The 18,240-nt window shown below is 39.2% G+C and overlaps 1 protein-coding gene across 2 annotated transcripts in view; it reads left to right on the top strand.

Moving 5' to 3' along the window:
• The window catches only part of PDGFD (platelet derived growth factor D), a 256,959-nt gene extending 238,869 nt beyond the window's left edge, over positions 1–18,090 (top strand). For both annotated transcript variants that reach the window (NM_033135.4, NM_025208.5), the window contains exon 7: positions 15,460–18,090. In NM_033135.4, the coding sequence (NP_149126.1) occupies positions 15,460–15,585 (126 nt within the window). In that variant the 3' untranslated portion in view covers positions 15,586–18,090. The remainder of the gene's footprint in view (positions 1–15,459) is intronic.
• The last annotated feature ends 150 nt before the right edge of the window (positions 18,091–18,240 follow it).

Below are 18,240 nucleotides of genomic sequence, written 5' to 3'. Positions count from 1 at the left end.
ACACATGCACACATATGTTTATTGCAGCACTATTCACAATAGCAAAGACTTGGAACCAACCCAAATGCCCATCAGTGATAGACTGGATAAAGAAAATGTGGCACATATACACCATGGAATACTTTGCAGCCTTAAAAAAGGATGAGTTCACGTCCTTTGCAGAGACACGGATGAAGCTAGAAACCATCATTCTCAGCAAACTAACACAGGAACAGAAAACCAACCACCACATGTTCTCACTCATAAGTGAGAGTTGAACACAGGGACACAGGGAAGGGAACATCACACACTGGGGGCTGTCGGTGGGTTGGGGGTTGGGGGAGGGATAGCATTAGGAGAAATACCTAATGTAGGTGATGGGTTAAAGGGTGCAGCAAACCACCATGGCACGTGTATACCTACGTAACAAACCTGCACGTTCTGCACAAGTATCCCACAACTTAAAGTATAATAATAATTTTTAAAAAGTGTCCACCACAACAAAGGAATAGGTAGTTCTCTCTAAACAAAATCTCCAGCTTTGTAAAACTGTTTTTTGGAGGCTTTTGTGGTGGTGGTGGTGTTTTGGTTTTGATTTCTATTCTGAAAACAACACAAAAATCGTAGTAAGTTAGGAGGTAACTTCTGGATTAAGCAAAAATGAGTATGTAATAATTGATATTTTCAACTTGGAAAATGTAGGAAATTGTTCCACCATGACCATACTTACTTCAGACAGGGAAACACTATTTTAGCCCTACATGGAACATATTTTCTTAAGTCATAAGAATTGCTTGATCCACCCCACTGTTTTCAAAGGAAAAAAAATGTTCTCATATCTAGAGAATGCTATCATCTATGTTCATTGTGTTTTATTTTTGTATGAACTGATGAACTCTAGATTGGATGTTGTCCTTCACTTCTAAGAACCTGAATTTTATAACCTTTAATCATACCCCAAGGATAAATGCAGAATGCAGTAATCAGGTTATAGTTAAAATAATCTAGGAAGTGACAAGGTCTCTACCTAGTAGTAACTGTGAGGAAGAACATTCAAGGTCAGGACTTTGATGTATTTGTGGAGTGCTTTATTTTTATCTTGACTCTATGCTCAGATAGAATTTTTAGCTTGATTTAAAAAATTACTTATTGTGGGAAGAGCAGAGTGAACCATAGACCCCCAAAGACCCTTGCCTCCCAGCCAGTTAGTTTTGAAGAACACTGAAGGCCTGGCTACCCTCCTCCTCTTAGTTCCTTTCTTATCTCTCTACACAATAACCATTACTTGCAAATTTCTGTTCTCAGTTAATGTGTAGAGGGGAAAACTCTTGATCTCTTTGTTCAGTCGCATGAGTGGATTTGAAACATTGGCATCCTTTGAAACTGTATCTAAAGCATCTCTTTAAGACATGTGTCCTAATATTTTTACTTCTAGAACTCTGCAAAGCTCTATAAAATCACTCTGTCAAGTGCTGGATGAAAGGAAAAATAAACATCCATCACCAGCCAGTAACTGCTTACCTGGAACAAACACTCCTGTCATATGCCCCTGAGACTCCTGAAATACCTTTGAGATGTGTCACAATTATCACTGTCAAGTGCCCTGTGGGAAACAGCAAAAGGCTTATTCCATTTCCAGAAGTGGGGGTTGCTTGAGCCTAGTCTCATTAGGGAAAAATTCTAGTCCTTTATTCTGAATTCTGTGTCTGTATTCTTACCTCTGAGAAATGAGAAACCAGTTTCCCCAGCTCATGGTTGCAACTGATGAGATGTGAAATGAGTTTCTGTGAAAGATGAGCACCCTTAAGGGGGTAATGAGACCTTGTCACATAACAGGCTTGTGTGATTCTCCACAAATATTTCAGTGCTCAACCTTAAGGAATTTAAATCTGGGAAACTGGAAAGCTTCTAACGAAGCTAATATTGCTTTTTTCACAGGTCATATTAGTTGTCCTGTAGGGTTTTGAGCGGTTTTCACTGTGCAGTAAAATGTGACTGTCTTTATTATTTCTTGCTCTCAAAAGTTTGTAGGTACCCTGTTGAAGTATTTTTCCTCTTTCTAAACAATCATTCTATGCTTCTTGGAATATACTAGATATAGAGTAGGAAAAATACCTTTTCTTCCACCCTTCCTAGGTTCATGGCTGAGGCCACTATAACAAAAGACAGAATAACAAAGGAAAAGTGTACTCATTTATTGAATATGTTTTACGTGACACAGAGGCCTTGGTAAGGAAGACCCAAAAAAGTGGTTCAACCTGATAATTTTTTACAGTAAGTTTGATAAAGTGTGGATAGTTGTGGAGAAATATGATAGGGCAGAGTATGATCTAATGGTAATAAACTGGGGAAAATTAGCAAGGCCTGTTTGTTCAGATTCTTATTTGTTCTACCTTTGTCTTTGGAGATAAGGATTCTTAGGCCAGGAGCAGTGGCTCATGCCTGTAATCTCAGCACTTTGAGAGGCCAAGGTGGGATGATCCCTTGAGGCTATGAGTTCAAGATCAACCGGGTCAACATAGCGAGACCCCCCCATCTCTAAAAAAAAAATAAATAAATAATAAAAAAAAGGAATTATTTTTAAGTAGCCAAGTGTGGAGGATGTGTCTGTGGTCTGAGCTACTTGGGAGGCTGAGGCAGGAGAATTGCTTGAGCCCAGGAGTTCAAGGTTGCAGCAGAACATGATCATGCAACTGCACTCTAGCCTGGGTGACAGAGTAAGACCACATCTCAAACAAAAAGGCGGGGGGGAATTCTTCTTTCTTCTGGGTATAACAGGGGCACCTCTCGCATGAGGGTCTTATGACTTGCTACATGGGAAGGTCAGAAAATCCTAGGTTTTATGACTTCCTTCAGGATGGAGGGTGAGGGGAAGGTCAGAGTGATCTTTCTGCTTTTCTTGTTTTCTCAAATTCCTTCAGCTTAAAACATTTGGGAGTACAGTGTCCTGAACCCCATCATAGAATATAAAAGATAATTTGGGTAGTGATTTTTGTTAAAGGGAGGATTCCAGAAAAACGTATTGTGTAGACAATTAGAAGAAACTATTATTTCAGTTCTCTTCTCTTGATAGTGTATAATGAAGGAAGAGGATATTTCCTAAAAGTATAGTGACCTATTAAATTATTACTCAACTGTTTTTCATGATTTGGTGCCCTGGCTGTATCCATTTAGTCAACAGCCAAAAACATAGGAAGCATCAAAGAGATAAAGATAGATGTTAATTTCCTCTGTTCTTCCTCTCATAATTTTCTCAGGATGCTTGACCTAACCACCTGCACTGTCTAATAGATCTTCCTGTAGTGATAGGAATAACCTATATTTGCAATGTTCCATATGGTAGTCACTAGCAACATGTGGCTGTTGGGCACTTGAAATGTGTGTAGCACAAATAGAAACTAAATTTTTAATTTTATTTAGTTTTAACTAATTGAAATTTAAATTACCACACAAGGCCGTGACTACCTTGTTGAATGGCACAAGCCTATACCTATCTCTGATTCTGGCACATTTATAGCATCTAGAATCACTTAGACATCTAGACAAAATGAAAAAAAAATGACTTCTTCTTGTTCTAAGGTAGAATTTTGTATTAAACATTTGCATTTTATCACAGTTTAAGAGTTAGGAGATGTATTAATAAATTGGTACAGATTATCCTCAATGATGGTTAGATTTAGATTTTTTTTTTTTTTACTTTTCAGTGGGTTTATGGGGGGGTATTAATGCATTTTCAACTTAAAATATTTTTAACCTCCAATGGGTTTATCAGGATATAGCCCCATCATAAGTCAACGAGCATCTGTATTTATACATGAAATATGAGGTTAGAGTAATACACTGTTGACCTTCAGATTTGAGGTAAAAGAATAGTACTTTGTTTTTACATGTTTGAAACGTCTGTTATTGAAAAAAAAGTACCTAAATTTTCAAATTGAGACCAAAGAAACAGAAAATAAATTTCGCGCAAGGAGTTTTCCTTCTCTAGCAATAGGGAGGGAGTTTTTGGGTCATGATTATACCTAACCATAATAAAAGTCAAGAAAATCTCTTTTCTGTTATTTTTTTGGAAACCTCATAGCTAGAACTTGTGGAGTCTCTCTGCCTCTTGTCCTTTCTCCACCTTTAAGTGAAGCCTCATGGTCTGTGATGTTTTCCTACCAAGAGAGGGCAATAGAGCAGAAAACTTGCAGGACTAGAAAAGATGTGGGTTCTGGTTCCAGCTTTGCCACATGGAGGGGCAACTGAGGACCAGCCACTTAAAACTTCCCAGGGCCTCAGGTTTCCTCACTTAATCCCCATAATAACCTACAATTTTGAGTTCCCAGGCAAACCTGAAATTACATCATATTCATTATCTGTTGTTACACTTTATCCTGCCCCCAAAATCTTAATGAAATTGTGTAAGGAATAAAAACAAATTGGTGGTTGAAATGCTAGGTAAATGCAAAAAGAATAAAGATATGATCCAGAACAGTAAATGTTTATAGACTGCTTATAAAAAAGTTAATTCACTCATCTTGACAATGGCAATGATAACACATGTGCTTCTTACCACCTGGGGATACTGGGTGAATGAAGGCATCTGAAGACTATAAAGTACAAGACAGATGTGGGTGGAATTAGATGAGAGCCTGGTCTGGCTTTCTCAGTTCTGATTACATTTCTTCCCTGATGACTCACTTACAAGTTAGTGAACTCCTTGTTTAAGTATTACAAACTGCACACCTTCTCCCTTCTCAATCTAGCTTCACATCAGGCCTTCCTGCCAAAGCGGCAAACTTGCCACATGGGGCAAGGTACTCCCCAAGCAGACAAGGCCCATCTGTGTCATGAGTGATACCCAATGCTAATGCCATGCTCTGAAATGTAGTGCCCACCCAGGCTTTCCATTATGTTTTCTGCAATTGGTAGGCTGAACATGTAGTCAATAATCCTCTAAGGTGCTGTCAAAATCATTTAACTATTTAGTTCTGTAAAGTTAAAACTGCAACTGAGTACACCTCATAGTAACCCTAGAGTCTCACAGAACGCATCTATTTGAAGTAAATATGCACAGATATCATGATTGCATTTTCAAAATTCATGAGCATGTTATAAACTCCCACTATAACCCAGCTTTTTGTCACCTTCAAGCTTAACTTCTTAATATAACACTGTTGAGCTGTTTGTCATTTATGTCTTTTTAACTGAGTACTGTGTCTTGGGACTTGATATCAGTCCTTCTGTTACAATGCCAGCCACTGCTGTGATTATTGCCTGCAGGTTGAGTAATTACTCAGGGAGGAAATAATATGTTATCCCTTCTCAAGATATTTTTGCTTGTAGTCACTTAGGTTTCAGAATAATTCACTAGCATCCCTTAAAAATATTGACTCTGTGTACATTTTTTATAAAGGCTATAAGCATGAAAGAGATCAAAAGAGAAGCTTTTTTTTTTCCTTGAGAAACTGTGTGTGCTGAAAACAGCCTGGTTTAGAAGTTAGGAAGAGACCGGGCGCAGTGGCTCATGCCTGTAATCCCAGCATTTTGGGAGGCTGAGGCAGGCAGATCACCTGAGGTCAGGAGTTCAAGACCAGCCTGGCCAACGTGGGGAAACCCCATCTCTACTAAAAATACAAAAATTAGCCAGGCGTGGTGGCACGTGCCTGTAGTCCCAGCTACTTGGGAGGCTGAGGCAGGAGAATCACTTGAACCCGGGAGGTGGAGGTTGCAGTGACCCGGGATCACACCATTGCACTCTAGCCTGGGCAAGAAGACTGAAACTCCATCTCAAAAAAAAAAAAAAAAAAAAAAAGGAAGAATCTTAAACTCTTAATGATTTGGGTTTATATAATGCATTTGTCCTGAAATACGTACTTGTGTTCCTAAGTCAGCCATTAATTTGAGAACTGTTACAAGGCCTTAACAGCCTTTTTTTATATTCTCAATAAACAAGAACCAGACTCAGCAGATAGCTTTTCTGCCTGGTATTGTTTTATTAGTGTAAATAGCTTTATGGTGAAGATTTATTCAGACGTTTATTGGCAACAAGGTGAGTAACTGTAGTTAAATATCTTTTGTGATGAGGTAATTTGCAAAACTGAGCATCTTTGATTTTGTATGGTGGTATGAAACCCACCAATTGGCTCAGTCACACTCCATTTAGTAGACGTCAAGTTTCCCTGGCTTTGTGTGGTTTTCCAGAGTGGAGAGGAGTCAAGATCCCCATTTGCACCCATAGGTGTTAAGAAATGCTGGTTGCCCGCCAGTGGATTTGTTATTTCTGGTTGTGTGCTTCCAGCTGTGAATCATAGCTCAGAAAATAAGAAAGTGTTGTGTGAGGGTACCTATTAACAAGTGCCCTTCAGCTCCTATAATTAATTCAGTGTTCCTTCCCTTTAAAGGTGACCAGATAACCTATAACCGCCAGTTTGCTTTCTCAGATAAAGGCTTTTCATTTTTCTACATGCCCTCAAATCAGCCTTGCTTTCTTCCTTCTTTCAATGCTGTGTACCTGAACCTAAGACTATTACATGATCTGAAAGCTTTGAACATCAGTGCTGTGATCATCCAGTAAGGCAGTCCAATTTCCACTTTGTTCAAATAGTGCTCTCCTGTCTTGTCTGGGAAAAGGTGTCTGCCAATTCATTTTTCTCTTCTTATCAGCAAAACACATATATACCGTGCTCACGTTGCTTAATATAAAACACAGAGAAAATCCCTGAACAATCAGAAGACCAGTTAGAAAAACTGCCCAGGCTCTTGCTCTTATCCCAAAGCACACACTTTTGTTTGCCGTCAAATGAGAAAGCAAATCGACAAAGCTCTGATTTTACAGGTGCCAGTCATCACAAATTATTAGGCCTTGATAACAGTCTTCTTTAAACAAGGAATATTTATCATATGCTCAGCTTCTTAGAAATAATTTCCCTCTCCTGCATCCCCTAGTTCTCAAATCTCTTTTACAGGCCAGATAGTCTTGGAAAATAGCAATTAATTCATCTTGGAGAAATTCTTGGCAAAGCTATGGGAGTCCAAACCCCAACCCCTTCCAAGGTACCTATTGTAAGTGCAATAGAATTGCAGGAGATGATAATAGAATCAACTATCAAAACTGGCCTTTGGACTAGCTTTACCAATATCAAAATTTCTGACACTTTGTCTCCCTAAAGAACTTTCTTAGGGTATTCCTTCCTCCACCCCCTGCCAACTTTGTACTGACAAGTCTTTTGAAGTTTTTCTACAAACAGATCTCCATCTTCCATTCTGCATCAGCAGAGTGCCCTAACTTGATTGAACATTAAACAAATGCAGTGATTTATTCCCTGCCTCACTGGACCGTCTATGGAACAGCATGGCAAAATTCTAAATGAAAGGAATGTGCAGACCGTGATGCATGAGTGCAGGGGACTCCAGGCATCTAACTTTCACCTAGGACAAAAGTTCAAGCAAAGCATCACAGGTCTCCCTGCCGGTTCACATGGGGAGCCAGACACACCCTTGAGACATAAAAGGAAATTGAAGGCATGTTAGAGAGGCCTCAAGTCAGAATATGCTAGGAGCTTAAATGTCCTGATCCCAGGTCCTGGTCCCAGGTCCAAGTCAGGGGAAGACCCTGGACAAGGTACTTATCCTCCTTTAGAATCTCAGTATAAAGTGGGCATAATGATACCTTTTCCACCATGTGAAAGATTTGTCTGAGGGTAAAAAGAAAAAAAAAAATAGTGCCTGTGCAAATTATTCAAAAACTGTAAAATGCTATAGAATTGTTTAATGGTGCCATGACCAAGTTTAGAATCTAAAAGGAAAATGGGACAAAATCAAAAATAAAGGCTAACCGGGATCTAAGAACATAAAGTAAATAATATATTAATCTGACTATGTATATTAGAAAACAAGAATGGAATTTTACCAAGTATATGTCTATGTAATAGCTAATATTTCACTAAATGAAGGCCACTGCAGGGAAGAAGGGTTGGCTTCTATTTAACTACTAATTTAAGAAATTATGTTTAAACTTATGAATTTAAAAATTAATGATATACTTATTGATTTAAGAAATGCTGTATTGATACACAGGTATTAATATACAAAGATTTTAGTGGAACCTGATTTGTTTTAAATGGTAAAGGATATTATATGTTAACAAATATATAAAAACATAAAACACATTTTACTTATTTATGGCCACTAATGACCTTCATCAGGGCAACATGTTGTGTGTTTTTTTTTTAATACTTTAAGTTGTGGGGTACATGTGCAGAATGTGCAGGTTTGTTACATAGGTATACATGTGCCATGGTGGCTTGCTGCACCCATCAACCCGTCATCTACATTAGGTATTTCTCCTAATGCTATCCCTTCCCTAGTCCCGCACCCACAAACAGGACCTGGTGTGTGATGTTCCCCTCCCTGTGTCCATGTCTTCTCATTGTTCAACTCCCACTTACAAGTGAGAACATGTGGTGTTGGGTTTTCTGTTCTTGTGTTAGTTTGCTGAGAATGATGGTTTCCAGCTTCATCCATATCTCTGCAAAGGACATGAACTCATCCTTTTTATGGCTGCATAGTATTTCATGGTGTATATGTGCCATGTTTTCTTTATCCAGTCTATCACTGATGGACATTTGGGTTGGTTCCAAGTCTTTGCTATTGTGATCAGTGCTGCAATAAACATATGTGTGCATGTGTCTTTATAATAGAATGATTTATATTCCTTTGGGTATATACTCAGTAATGGGATTGCTGGGTCAAATGATATTTCTGGTTCTAGATCCTTAAGGAATCTCCACACTGTCTTCCACAATGGTTGAACTAATTTACATTCCCACCAACAGTGGAAAAGTGTTCCTATTTCTCCACATCCTCTCCAGCATTTGTTGTTTCCTGACTTTTTAGTGATCACCATTCTAACTAGCATGAGATGGTATGTCACTGTGGTTTTGTTTTGCATTTCTCTAACGACCAATGATGATGAGGTTTTTTTCATATGTTTGTTGGCTGCATAAATGTCTTCTTTTGAGAAGTGTCTGCTCATATCCTTTGCCCATATTTTGACGGGGTTGTTTTTTTCTTGTAAATTTGTTTAAGTTCTTCGTAGATTCTGGATATTAGCCTTTGTCAGATCGATAGATTGCAAAAATTTTCTCCCATTCTGTAGGTTGCTTGTTCACTCTGATGACAGTTTTTTTTTGCTGTGCAGAAGCTCTATAGTTTAATCAGATCCCACTTGTCTATTTTGGCTTTTGTTGCCATTGCTTTTGGTGTTTTAGTCATGAAGTCTTTGCCCATGTCCATATCCTGAATGGTATTGCCTAGGTTTTCTTCTGGGTTTTTATGGTTTTATGTCTTATATTTAAGTCTTTAATTCATCTTGAGTTAACTTTTGTATAAGGTGTAAGGAAGGGATCCAGTTTCAGCTTTCTGCATATGGCTAGCCAGTTTTTCCAACACCATTTATTAAATAGGGAATCCTTTTTCCATTGCTTGTTTTTGTCAGGTTTGTCAAAGATCAGATGGATGTAGATTGCAGTGTAATTTCTGAGGTCTCTGTTCTGTTCCATTGGTCTATATATCTGTTTTGGTACCAGTACCATGCAGTTTTGGTTACTGTAGCCTTATAGTATAGTTTTAAGTCAGGTAGCATGATACCTCCAGCTTTGTTCTTTTTGCTTAAGATTGTCTTGGCTCTGTGGGCTCTTTTTTTGGTTCCATATGAAATTTAAAGTTGTTTTTTCCAATTCTGTGAAGAAAGTCAATGGTAGCTTGATGGGGGTAGCACTGAATCTATAATTTACTTTGGGCAGTATGGCCATTTTCATGATTCTTACTATCTGTGAGCATGGAATGTTTTTCCATTTGTTTGTGTCCTCTCTTATTTCCTTGATCAGTGGTTTGTAGTTCTCCTTGAAGAGTTCCTACGTGTCCCTTGTAAGTTGTATTCCTAGGTATTTTATTCTCTTTGTAGCAATTGTGAATGAGAGTTCACTCATGATTTGGCTCTCTGTTTGTCTATTATTGGCGTATAAGAATGCTTGTGATTTTTGCACATTGATTTTGTGTCCTGAGACTTTGCTGAAGTTGCTTATCAGCTTAAGGAGTTTTTGGCCTGAGACGATGGGGTTTTCTAAATATACAAACATGTCATCTGCAAACAGAGACAATATGACTTCCTCTCTTTCTATTTGAATACCCTTTATTTCTTTCTATTGCCTGATTGCCCTGGCCAGAACTTCCAATAGTATCTTGAATAGGAGTGGTGAGAGAGGGCATCCTTGTCTTGTGCCAGTTCTCAAAGGGAATGCTTCCAGTTTTTGCCCATTCAGTATGATATTGGCTGTGGGTTTGTATAAATAGCTCTTATTATTTTGAGATACATTCCATCGATACCTAGTTTACTGAGAATTTTTAGCATGAAGGGCTGTTGAATTTTGACAAAGGCCTTTTCTGCATCTATTGAGATAATCATGTGGTTTTTGTCATTGGTTCTGTTTATGTGATGGCCTACATTTATTGATTTGCATATTTTGAACCAGCCTTGCATCCCAGGGATGACGCCAACTTGATCATGGTAGATAAGCTTTTTGATGTGCTGCTGGATTTGGTTTGCCAGTATTTTATTGAGGATTTTCACATCAATGTTCATCAGGGATATGGGCCTGAAATTTCCTCTTTTTGTTGTGTCACTGCTAGGTTTTGGTATCAGGATGATGCTGGCCTCGTAAAATGAGTTAGGGAGGATTCCCATTTTCTATTTTTTGGAATAGTTTCAGAAGGAATAGTACCAGCTTCTCTTTGTACCTCTGGTAGAATTTGGCTGTGAATCCGTCTGGTCCTGGACTTTTTTTGGTTGGTAGGCTATCAATTACTGCTTCAATTTTAGAACTTGTTACTGGTATATTCAGGGATTTGACTTCTTCCTGGTTTAGTCTTGAGAGGGTGTATGTGTTTTGGGAGCCAAAAAGGCCAAAGGGATCATGACCAACTCAGCATTCCACTGGAGGCTACTTGATCAAACAGCAAACTGTTTATCGTGAATACAGAATGTGGGCAAACTTACTTCTGTGCCTGCCCTAGAAGGTTTGCTGAGGGCCATCACTCCCTGGCACTGGCTCCTTGAGGTTATCTACTGGGACATCTAGAGCCTATTGTTTGAGGAATGCAGTCTTGCAGGCCTACTCTGGACCTAACAGCTGACCTCTTCTTCCAACTCACCCTCTCGCTATCTCTTTTGCCTAATAAATACAGAGGGTGGTGTAAAGCTCAGGGCCCTTGTCCATTAGAGGCAAGTTGCCCCCTGACCCCTACTTCCAAACATACTCTTTTGTCTTTGTCTTTTATTTCTGCATTCACCCCCTTTTGTTCTGTCCCCCAAGGTCCATACAGGCTACATATGTGTCCAGGAATTTATCCATTTCTTCTAGATTTTCTAGTTTATTTGCATAGAGGTGTTTATAATATTCTCTGATAATAGTTTGTATTTCTGTGGGATCGGTGGTGATATCCCCTTTATCATTTTTTATTGCATCTCTTTGATTCTTCTCTCTTTTCTTCTTTATTAGTCTGTCTAGTGGTCTATTTTGCTGATCTTTTCAAAAAACCAGCTCCTGGATTCATTGATTTATTTGAAGGGCTTTTTGTGTCTCTATCTCCTTCAGTTCTGCTCTGATCTTAGTTATTTCTTGTCTTCTGCTAGCTTTTGAATTTGTTTGCTCTTTCTTCTCTAGTTCTTTTAATTGTGATGTTAAGGTGTCTATTTTAGATATTTCCTGCTTTCTCTTGTAGGCATCTAGTGCTATAAATTTCCCTCTACACACTGCTTTAAATATGCCCCAGAGATTCTGGTACATTGTGTCTTTGTTCTCATTGGTTTCAAAGAACATCTTTATTTTTGCCTTCATTTTGTTATTTACCCAGTAGTCATTCAGGAGCAGGTTGTTCAGTTTCCATGTAGTTGTGTGATTTTGAGTGAGTTTCTTAATTCTGAGTTCTAAATAGATTGCACTGTAGTCTGAGAGACTGTTTGTTAGGATTTCTGTTCTTTTGCATTTGCTGAGGAGTGTTTTACTTAAAATTACATGGTCAATTTTAAAATAGGTGTAATGTGATGCTGAGAAGAGTGTATATTCTGTTGATTTGGGGTGGGGAGTTCTGTAGATATCTATTAGGTCCGCTTGGTCCAGAGCTCAGTTCAACTCCTGGATATCCTTGTTAATTTTCTGTCTCATTGATCTGCCTAATATTGGCAGTGGGGTGTTAAAGTGTCTATTTATTATTTAGACTCCCACTATTATTGTGTGGGAGTCAAAGTCTCTTTGTAGGTCTCTAAGAACTTGCTTTATGAATCTGGGTGCTCCTGTATTGGGTGCATGTATATTTAGGATAGTTAGCTCTTCTTGTTCCATTGATGCCTTTACCATTATGTAATGGCCTTCTTTGTCTCTTTTGATCTTTGTTGGTTTAAAGTCTGTTTTATCAGAGACTAGGATTGCAACCCCTGCTTTTTTTTTTTGTTTTCCATTTACTTGGTAAATCTTCCTCCATCCCTTTATTTTGAGCCTATGTGTGTCTTTTCATGTGAGATGGGCCTCCTGAATACAGCACACTGATGGGTCTTGACTCTTTATCCAATTTGCCAGTCTGTGTCTTTTAATTGGGGAATTTAGCCCATTTACATTTAAGGTTAATATTATTATGTGTGAATTTGATCCTGCCATTATGACACTAGCTGGTTATTTTGCCCGTTAGTTGATGCACTTTCTTCATAGCATCAATGGTCTTTACAATTTGGGATGTTTTTGCAGTGGCTGGTACCAGTTGTTCCTTTCCATGTTGGTGCTTCCTTCAGGAGCTCTTGTAAGGCAGGCCTGGTGGTGACAAAAATCTGTCAGCATTTGCTTCTCTGTAGAGGATTTTATTTCTCCTTCACTTAGGAAGCTTGGTTTGGCTGGATATGAAATTCTGGGTTGAAAATTATTTTCTTTAAGAATGTGGAATATTGGCCCTCACTCTCTTCTGGCTTGTAGGGTTTCTGCCGGGAGATCCGCTGTTAGTCTGATTGGCTTCCCTTTGTGGGTAACCCAACCTTTCTCTCTGGCTGCCCTTAACATTTTTTCCTTCATTTCAACCTTGGTGAATCTGAAGATTATGTGTCTTGGGATTGTTCTTCTCGAGGAGTATCTTTATGGTGTTCTCCATATTTCCTGAATTTGAATGTTGGCCTGCCCTGATAGATGGGGAAATTCTCCTGGATAATACCCTGAAGAGTGTTTTCCAACTTGATTCCATTCTCCCCATCACTTTGGGGGACACCAATCAAATGTAGATTTGGTCTTTTCACATAGTCCCATAATTCTTGGAGGCTTTGTTTGTTTCTTTTCACTCTTTTTTCTGTAATCTTGTCTTCTCACTTTCTTTTATTAATTTGATCTTCAATCACTGATATCCTTTCTTCTGCTTGATCGATTTGGCTATTGAAGCTTGTGTATGCTTCATGAAGTTCTTGTCTTGCGTTTTTCAGCTCCATCAGGTCATTTATGTTCTTCTCTACACTGATTATTCTAGTTAGCAATTCATCTAACCTTTTTTCAAGGTTCTTAGCTTCCTTGCATTGGGTTAGAACATGCTCCTTTAGCTCGGAGGAGTTTGTTATTACCCACCTTCTGAAGCCTACTTCTGTCAATTCCTCAAACTCATTCTCCATCTGGTTTTGTTCCCTTGCTGGCGAGGAGTTGTGATCCTTTGGTTGAGAAGAGGAGTTCTGGTTTTTGGAATTTTCAGTGTTTCTGCACTGGTTTTTCCCCATCTTTTTGGTTTTATTTACCTTTGGTCTTTGATGTTGTTGACCTTCAGATGGGGTCTCTGAGTGGATGTCCTTTTTGTTAATGTTGATACTATTCCTTTCTGTTTGTTACTTTTCCTTCTAACAGTCAGGCCGCTCTGCTGCAGGTCTGCTGGAGTTTGCTGGAGGTCCACTCCAGACCCTGTCTCCTGTATGAAATGTCTATTGGCCCCTAATGGGAGATGTCTCCCAGTCAGGATACATGGGGGTCAGGGACCCACTTGAGGAGGCAGCCTGTCCCTTATCAGAGCTCAAATGCTGTGCTGGGAGATCCGCTGCTCTCTTCAGAGCCTCCAGGCAGGAATGTTTAAGTCTGAGAAGCTGCACCCACAGCCACCCCTTCCCCCAGGTTCTCTGTCCCAGGGAGATGGGGGTTTTATCTATAAGTCCCTGACTGGGGCTGCTGCCTTTCTTTCAGAGATGACCTGCCCAAAAAGGAGGAATCTAGAGAGGCAGTTTGGCCACAGCGGCCTTGCTGAGCTGCGGTGGGCTCCGCCCCATTCAAACTTCCCAGTAGCTTTGTTTACACTTTGAGGGTAAAACCGCCTCGCCTACTCAAGCCTCAGCAATGGCAGACGCCCCTCCCCTCACCAAGCTCAAGCATCCCAGGTCAATCTCAGACTGCTGTGCTGGCAGGAGAATTTCAAGCCAGTGGATCTTAGCTAGCTGGGCTCCATGGGGGTGGGACCCACTGAGCCAGACCACTTGGATCCCTGGAGTGAATGGTTCTGTCTTGCTGGCATTCCAGGCGCCACTGGGGTATGAAAAATAAACTGCTGCGGCTAGCTCGGTGTCTGTCCAAATGGCCGCCCAGTTTTGTGCTTGAAACCCAGGGCCCTGGTGGCATAGGCACTGGGGGAAATCTCCTGGTCTGCCAGTTGCAAAGACTATGGGAAAAGTGCAGTATCTGGACTAGAGTGCACCATTCCTCCTGGTACAGTCTCTCATGGCTTCCCTTGGCTGGGGGAAGGAGATCCCCCACCCCCTTGCACTTCGCGGCTGAGGGGACACCCCACCCTGCTTCAGCTCACCTTCCGTGGGCTGCACCCAATGTCTAACCAGTCCCAGTGAGATGAACTGGGTACCTCAGTTGGGAATGGAGAAATCACCCGCCTTCTGCATTGATCTCGCTGGGAACTGCAGACCAGAGCTGTTCCTGTTCGGCCATCTTGCCAGCAACTCCAGGGCAACATGTTTTACTTCAACCAAAGATTTAGATATACCAGCATATTTTATTCATGGTTGTATTCATTTTCCTCTCCATGCTAATAATATGCTCAAGTATTGTATTCATCTATAACACATGCCTTGGTCAGAAGGATCTTTACGATAATATTTGGAACAGTACTTGGCCCAAAGCAGGCCCTTAGAAAGCTATTAATAAATACCTGCTAAGACACATGAAATCATCTGGGTACTTCAGGTAAGTTATGCTGGGCATTACTCTGGGATCAATTGATTCCTCCACTTCAGGGAGTCAATTATTTGAAAAATGTGTACATTCTAATAGCAACGTGTGCATTCTAATAGCAAGCCCATAGCTTCTGTTGGGTTCTCAAAGGGCTAAGAACTAGTTGTCAAAAAGGTAATAAGTAGGTGGCATCTGACTGAGTTGAACTCCAAAGGCTTTCTAACAGGAGATGTGCTTCTTGTCCTAGGTATTACAGTTTGAGCCTGGCCACATCAAGAGGAGGGGTAGAGCTAAGACCATGGCTCTAGTTGACATCCAGTTGGATCACCATGAACGATGTGATTGTATCTGCAGCTCAAGACCACCTCGATAAGAGAATGTGCACATCCTTACATTAAGCCTGAAAGAACCTTTAGTTTAAGGAGGGTGAGATAAGAGACCCTTTTCCTACCAGCAACCAAACTTACTACTAGCCTGCAATGCAATGAACACAAGTGGTTGCTGAGTCTCAGCCTTGCTTTGTTAATGCCATGGCAAGTAGAAAGGTATATCATCAACTTCTATACCTAAGAATATAGGATTGCATTTAATAATAGTGTTTGAGGTTATATATGCACAAACACACACAGAAATATATTCATGTCTATGTGTATATAGATCAAATGTTTTTTTTGGTATATATAACCAGGTACACCAGAGCTTACATATGTTTGAGTTAGACTCTTAAAATCCTTTGCCAAAATAAGGGATGGTCAAATATATGAAACATGTCTTTAGAAAATTTAGGAGATAAATTTATTTTTAAATTTTGAAACACAAAACAATTTTGAATCTTGCTCTCTTAAAGAAAGCATCTTGTATATTAAAAATCAAAAGATGAGGCTTTCTTACATATACATCTTAGTTGATTATTAAAAAAGGAAAAATATGGTTTCCAGAGAAAAGGCCAATACCTAAGCATTTTTTCCATGAGAAGCACTGCATACTTACCTATGTGGACTATAATAACCTGTCTCCAAAACCATGCCATAATAATATAAGTGCTTTAGAAATTAAATCATTGTGTTTTTTATGCATTTTGCTGAGGCATGCTTATTCATTTAACACCTATCTCAAAAACTTACTTAGAAGGTTTTTTATTATAGTCCTACAAAAGACAATGTATAAGCTGTAACAGAATTTTGAATTGTTTTTCTTTGCAAAACCCCTCCACAAAAGCAAATCCTTTCAAGAATGGCATGGGCATTCTGTATGAACCTTTCCAGATGGTGTTCAGTGAAAGATGTGGGTAGTTGAGAACTTAAAAAGTGAACATTGAAACATCGACGTAACTGGAAATTAGGTGGGATATTTGATAGGATCCATATCTAATAATGGATTCGAACTCTCCAAACTACACCAATTAATTTAATGTATCTTGCTTTTGTGTTCCCGTCTTTTTGAAATATAGACATGGATTTATAATGGCATTTTATATTTGGCAGGCCATCATAGATTATTTACAACCTAAAAGCTTTTGTGTATCAAAAAAATCACATTTTATTAATGTAAATTTCTAATCGTATACTTGCTCACTGTTCTGATTTCCTGTTTCTGAACCAAGTAAAATCAGTCCTAGAGGCTATGGTTCTTAATCTATGGAGCTTGCTTTAAGAAGCCAGTTGTCAATTGTGGTAACACAAGTTTGGCCCTGCTGTCCTACTGTTTAATAGAAAACTGTTTTACATTGGTTAATGGTATTTAGAGTAATTTTTTCTCTCTGCCTCCTTTGTGTCTGTTTTAAAGGAGACTAACTCCAGGAGTAGGAAATGATTCATCATCCTCCAAAGCAAGAGGCTTAAGAGAGAAACACCGAAATTCAGATAGCTCAGGGACTGCTAACAGAGAACTACATTTTTCTTATTGCCTTGAAAGTTAAAAGGAAAGCAGATTTCTTCAGTGACTTTGTGGTCCTACTAACTACAACCAGTTTGGGTGACAGGGCTGGTAAAGTCCCAGTGTTAGATGAGTGACCTAAATATACTTAGATTTCTAAGTATGGTGCTCTCAGGTCCAAGTTCAACTATTCTTAAGCAGTGCAATTCTTCCCAGTTATTTGAGATGAAAGATCTCTGCTTATTGAAGATGTACCTTCTAAAACTTTCCTAAAAGTGTCTGATGTTTTTACTCAAGAGGGGAGTGGTAAAATTAAATACTCTATTGTTCAATTCTCTAAAATCCCAGAACACAATCAGAAATAGCTCAGGCAGACACTAATAATTAAGAACGCTCTTCCTCTTCATAACTGCTTTGCAAGTTTCCTGTGAAAACATCAGTTTCCTGTACCAAAGTCAAAATGAACGTTACATCACTCTAACCTGAACAGCTCACAATGTAGCTGTAAATATAAAAAATGAGAGTGTTCTACCCAGTTTTCAATAAACCTTCCAGGCTGCAATAACCAGCAAGGTTTTCAGTTAAAGCCCTATCTGCACTTTTTATTTATTAGCTGAAATGTAAGCAGGCATATTCACTCACTTTTCTTTGCCTTTCCTGAGAGTTTTATTAAAACTTCTCCCTTGGTTACCTGTTATCTTTTGCACTTCTAACATGTAGCCAATAAATCTATTTGATAGCCATCAAAGGAATAAAAAGCTGGCCGTACAAATTACATTTCAAAACAAACCCTAATAAATCCACATTTCCGCATGGCTCATTCACCTGGAATAATGCCTTTTATTGAATATGTTCTTATAGGGCAAAACACTTTCATAAGTAGAGTTTTTTATGTTTTTTGTCATATCGGTAACATGCAGCTTTTTCCTCTCATAGCATTTTCTATAGCGAATGTAATATGCCTCTTATCTTCATGAAAAATAAATATTGCTTTTGAACAAAACTACTCCATTATTTAGTACTCAATTGCAGTTTTAAAAGGTGTACACTGCTAAAAAAGAAAAAAAAAAAGAAAAGAAAACTTCCAGCTGGACGCGGGGGCTCAAGCCTGTAATCCTAGCACTTGGGGAGGCCGAGGGGGTGGATCACACGG

Source organism: Homo sapiens, chromosome 11, assembly GCF_000001405.40.
Source record: "Homo sapiens chromosome 11, GRCh38.p14 Primary Assembly".
Lineage (NCBI taxonomy): Eukaryota > Metazoa > Chordata > Mammalia > Primates > Hominidae > Homo > Homo sapiens.
This window is presented reverse-complemented; position numbering and strand designations above follow the sequence as displayed.